Source organism: Homo sapiens, chromosome 9 (assembly GCF_000001405.40).
Source record: "Homo sapiens chromosome 9, GRCh38.p14 Primary Assembly".
Classification (NCBI taxonomy): Eukaryota; Metazoa; Chordata; class Mammalia; order Primates; family Hominidae; genus Homo; species Homo sapiens.
In genome coordinates, this window is record NC_000009.12 from 119,012,082 (window position 1) to 119,017,547 (window position 5,466).

Below are 5,466 nucleotides of genomic sequence, written 5' to 3' on the forward strand. Positions count from 1 at the left end.
GAAAAATGATGTCCATTCTGTTTCCCTTGCTGAGTTGTGAGAGAAAAGTAAAATTAATGTTCAGATGTTAAAATGACCCCTTACGTTTGTTTTATTAAGATTTGCAAAAGTAACTTTGTCAAATACTAAATCGTGTATTGGGATAAAATCAAAACAAAACATGTGACCATGAATCACACACATTGTGTCCACTATGTGGATATGAGTGAGAGGCAGCTGTCATGTAGCAAAAAGAATGCAGCTCGTAGCACATCTCCACCATTCCTGACTTCTGTGACCTCAGGTCTGTCTATGAACTTCAATTACCACATCAGTAAAATGAAGACAGTAAAAGTCACCTATCAGGGTTGATATAAGAACAGAATAATTTTATCAACTTATACCTGCCTTTATTTTGTCTGAAAATATCAGCTTAACATTATTTTCTTGGTTGCCTCAATGTAGCTATATAATCTTTACAGAATGGCTATGGTCTGGCATTCCGCTCTTCTCTTTCATTATTATTTTCTCTCCTGATATCTTTACATTAGTTTCTTCCTCTAGAATCCATCATGCAGGCAGCCTTTAGTAAGCGTCACATGCTACCTAAAGTGGTTTGCGTATGTTACCTTATTTACACACCTAAAGTAGCCTGTCAAAGTTAGGCATTATCTTTATTACATCAAGAGGAGGTGAAGAGTTCCTGGTAGTTACTCAGTTACTGAGCAGGAGACCAGGATCCAAACCTGTACTCTTCTGTCCCTGCAGCTGGAGCTCATTTCTTTTTATCCCATTGCTTCCCAACAAGCTTTCTCTAGGAGCTATAGAAAGCTGCACATCCCCCTGTTGGTATGACATGGGTTCCATGCTCAGGTATAAGGAATATAAGGAATTGGCAAGCTCAAGGTCAGGTTGGATTTCCAGGCAGCGGCTGATATGTGAGCGTTTCTGTCTTGTTCTTTCAGATGTGACACAATGCACAGCCAAGCAGGTGATCTGGCCCTGACAACTGGTAAACTATAATAATCCTAATACTTTGCATCAGTACAGCACCTTTCATCTCAGGCATCTGGGGGCTCAGAAGACATTAATTAAACTTCACAGCATCCTAATTCCTGGAGGTCAGGACTGTACCAATTTTAGAGAGAGATAAACTGATATAATAATGACTCTCATAAAGCAGAAAATCAAGACGGATCATTTGGCAGATGATAGAAGCCTAGCTTCTGGGTCGACTGAAACAATCATTAGATAAAATTGTGTGTCACTGAAAGCACCTGCTGTGAAGTCAGTAGACCTAAGTTTTTGGACTGACCTTTCCATTTTTTGAGTGAATAGAATCAAGTCACTTTTTCTTTCTCGTTCTTCATGCATTCATCAGTAAAACAAAGGAGCTGCTAATCACTGCCTTTACCTAGAAGCATCCACTCTCATGCTGACATGGCCCTTAGGAATCATCTGCCTACAGTTCTCTGAACACTGCTTCATGGGCATGTGTCACTAGGATGTTTCAGAATCATGAGGGATGGGGAATGGAAGAGAATGTTTGTTTAAAAATGTGGATTCCCAGGGGCCCATCCTAGTGATTCTAATTTAGTGGGTCTGAGATGGGACTCTGAAATACAAAGTTTTTAAACACTTCCCAGATCATTCTGATGTAATCAGTTTGGGACCCACAGCGGGTCAAGCTCTGTTCTGATCTTTGCCTTTTTACAGGTTATAGGGAGCTTTTCAACATCTGCCCCTTCTGCCTCTACCCCACTCCTTCCCCCCACCCCAGGTATCGCCCCAGATTTCTCCTTAAAATGTGTGTCATCCACTTGTTCTCCATAGCAGTTGAAAAAATAATTTCTGTGTTAAGTAGATCATGATCAATCCACTTATCTTGATATTGCAAAATGTTTCCAAAAGAAATTTTAATTCTATAATAATAGATCTTCATGAAACACTATATGCCAGGAACTATTAATTAGTTTTACATATATCCATTTATTTAATCCTCACAGCAGTCCAATTAGTAGGTAATTAATATTATTATCATTTTAGGTGTGGAAACTAAGGCACAGAGAAATTATGTAATTTGTCTAAGGAAACATAGCAGAGCTGGATTTGAAGCCAGACAGTTTGGCTCCAGAGTCTTTTCTCTTAAGCTCTATGTATAGTGTCTCAAATAATCCAAAGATGAGCAAAGATTTGAATAACTGCATTCTATGAAGTTCTAGACTATACTGAGGTTTTTGAGAATCTGATGAAAGTTGTGAAAGCCTTTCCCAGAAAATTTCTCACATGTATGTAAACAATCTCAATTTGGCACACAATTTCAGGGGCTGAACAATATTCAAAAGTTTTTTCATGAAATCTCTGTTAAAAAAGAAACTGGAAAGCAGTTGACTAAATGAAAAGCTACAAAAATGAGTGATGGGAAATATGATCACTGTTTTTAGATATAAGAAGTGCTTTCATTTTTTTAAAGGCAACGGACATGTCTTTGGTGAAATTAAAAAGACAGCACATTACGATTAAACACAAAAATATACCTTTTTAATAGAGTCATCAAATAGTGATTTAGGCTTCTTCAAGGAGGTAGTGAGCTCCCCATTGCAAGACATGTTCAAGCAAATGATGGGAGGCAATCTCACAGGGATGCTGATGATGACATTTTCTATAATAAATTAATTGTCCATAAATGGAGGCCGAGAAAATCCAGTCTCAATAATGTAGAATCCATAATGTTCAGCATACTATAGCAATAATAATAATGATACTATACCTAGACATGTAAAGAAGCTCAAAAATGTGGCCACAAATCAGTAAACTGACCCTGAGATAACCCAGATATAGAGATTAGCAAAAAGCTATCTTAAAAAAGTTATTATGAATATTTTCAAGGACTTTAAGGAATGTATGTTCATAATAAGTTAATCTATAGCACAAAAAACTATAAACACCAAAGTTTTAGAAATGAAAAATATAATATCCAAAATGAAAATTTAACTGATTTTACTTAATAGCAGATACAAGTCAGCAGATAAAAGCTATAATAAAAGAAACAATTCAAAATAAAGTACAGAGAAAATAAAAGGGTGAAAAAAATATAGCAAAGCCTCGATGACTTGTGGGACAGTATCAAGCTCTACAATATCCATATAACTGGAGTCCAAAAAACAGAGGAGACAGATAATGAGGACAGAAAAATAATTAAAGAAATAATGATAAAATTCTCCAAAAATTTTGTAGAAAACAAAATTTACACGTCCAAGAACATCAGTAGTGAGCTTCAAGAAAGAGAAAAACAAAGACAACTATACTTAGAGACATCATAGTCAATCAAAAATTAGAAGAAAATGTTGAATAAAGCCAAAGAAAATGATACCTTACATCAATAAAACAATGGTATGTGATGGCTGATTTCTTAAAATCAGTGGATGATAGAAGACAAATAAATGACATTTTTTAAGTACTGTGGGGTGGGCATACAAAAATCTGTCAACCTAGAATTCCATATCCAACAAAAATGTACATAGACAAATAAATACAAATCAAAACATTTTTAGATTTGTAAAAATAAGAAAATTTGTTTCCAAAAGACTGGAATTATAGGAAATACAGAAGGTAATTCTTCATGCTAAAAGGTATTCACAGATCTGCAGAAAGATAATCACAAGCGCCTAGGAATCACCACACTGATTTCCACAATGGCTGAACTAATTTATACTCGCACCAACAGTGTATAAGCGTTCCTTTTTCTCCACAACCTCGCCAGTATCTGTTATTGTTTACCTTTTTAATAATAGCCATTCTCACTGGTGTTAGATGGTATCTCATTGTAGGTTTCATTTGTATTTCTTTGATGATCAGTGATGTTGAACTTTTTTTTATATGATTGTCGGCCACATGTATGTTTTCTTTTGAAAAGTGGCTTTGCCCACTTTATAATGGGGTTGTTTGCTTTTTTCTTGTAAATTTGTTTAAGTTCCTTATAGATGCTGGATATTAGACCTTTGTCAGATACATAGTTGGCAAAAATTTTCTCCCACTCTGTAGGTTGTCTGTTTATTCTCTTGATAGTTTATTTAGCTGTGCAGAAGCTCTTTAATTTAACTAGATCCCATTGGTCAATTTTTGCTTTTGTTGCAATTGCTTTTGGTGTCCTGATCATGAAATCTTTGCCTGTACTTGTGTCCCGAATGGCACTGCCTAGATCATCTTCCAGGATTTTTACAGTTTTGGGTTTTACACTTAAGTCTTTGTGTTCTCACTTGTAAGTGGAAGCTAAATGATGAGAACACATGGAGACATAGAGGGGAATAACACACACTGAAGCCTTTCAGAGGATGGAGAGTGGAAGGAGGGAGAAGTTCAGGAAAAATAACTAATGGGTACTAGGCTTAATACCTGAGTGATTAAATAATCAGTACAACAAACCCCCATGACACAAGTTTATCTATGTAACTAACCTGCATTTGTACCCCCGAACTTAATATAAAAGTTAAAAAAAAAACAAGCACCAGAAGTGGTAAGCATAGGAGTATATATAAAATGTATATTTATATTTTATTATTTTACTTAAAATGCATTTGATTAGAGCAAAAATTACAATATTGCATATATATTGCAGATATAGAAGACATGACACCATAAAAAAGAGGATGATAAATAGAACTGTAAGGTTGCAAAGCTCTTTTACTTTCTAGAAATAGAAATACTGACATTAACACTAAGTAGCCTGTAATAACAAGGATGCATATTGGAATCCCTAAGGCAACCATTAAAAAAATATGAAGTACAGCTGAAAAGCCAATAGAGGAATTAAAATGAAATGCTGGAAAATATTTGATTAACCCAAATGAAGACAGAAAGACAAACTGCAGAATAATAAGAAAATTGTAGACCTAAATCCAACTATGTGAATAATAATATTAAATCTAAATAAACTCAACCCTACAATTAAAAGGTTAAGATAGATTAAGAGAAAAAAAACAGTAAGGTGTAATGTCACTGCATGGTACTTTAAATATGAAGTAACAGTTTGAAAGTGAAAGGATGGAATTAAAAATACCATGTGGGCTGGGCGCAGTGGCTAACGCCTGTAATCCCAACACTTTGGGAGGCTGAGATGGGTGGATCATGAGGTCAGGAGTTCGAGACCAGGCTGACCAACATGGTGAAAACCCGTCTCTAATAAAAATACAAAAAAAAGTTAGCCAGGCATGGTGGTGCCTGCCTGCAATCCCAGCTACTCAGGAGGCTGAGGCATGAGAATCGCTTGAACCTGGGAGGTGGAGGTTGCAGTGAACCGCGATCACACCGCTGCACTCCAGCCTGGGTGAAAGAGCGAGACTCCATCTCAAAAAAAAAAAAAAAAATACCATGTGAACAATAAGATTAACAAAGCTGAATAACTGTATTAATATCAGACAAAATAGACTTTAAGACAAGAGTATTTAATGTTATTTTTAAAATATTCCAAATATACAGAAAAGCTGC